Source organism: Homo sapiens, chromosome 11, assembly GCF_000001405.40.
Source record: "Homo sapiens chromosome 11, GRCh38.p14 Primary Assembly".
Taxonomy (NCBI): Eukaryota; Metazoa; Chordata; class Mammalia; order Primates; family Hominidae; genus Homo; species Homo sapiens.
Genome location: NC_000011.10, coordinates 89,623,967 through 89,624,453, shown reverse-complemented (window position 1 = coordinate 89,624,453; position 487 = coordinate 89,623,967). Strand labels below are relative to the sequence as shown.

General features: G+C 31.2%; 1 pseudogene; it reads left to right on the top strand.

The window, feature by feature from the left end:
• The first annotated feature begins 345 nt into the window (after nucleotides 1–345).
• LOC124902843 (uncharacterized) lies at nucleotides 346–487 on the top strand (annotated as a pseudogene).

Below are 487 nucleotides of genomic sequence, written 5' to 3'. Positions count from 1 at the left end.
TTTGTACTGAAAAGAATATATATATCTCCAATTCCCTGTGATACCGAGGAAAGACAGCATACACACACACACACACACACACACACATACACATACACACATATATGTATATGTATATATATACATATGCATATACAGCTACTGAGTGACAAGTGGTATGGTATAATATCACCTGTCACTCAGTAGCTATCATATATATATATATATATATATGTGTGTATATATATATATATATATACACACACATATATATATATAAAACAAGGAATTGTTTCCAGGAACTCCAAAGATACTGAAATCTGAGGATGCTCAGCTCAAGTCCCTTATGTAAAATGGCATAGTTATATTGTTTCTCTGACTTTTGGCTAAGATGAAGTTTAGTATCTGTTCTTATCAGTTTAAAGTGGCATAGTATTTGCATATAGCCTATGCATCCTCTGGTATACATTAAGTAATCTCTAGATTTATACTACTTAATACAACATAC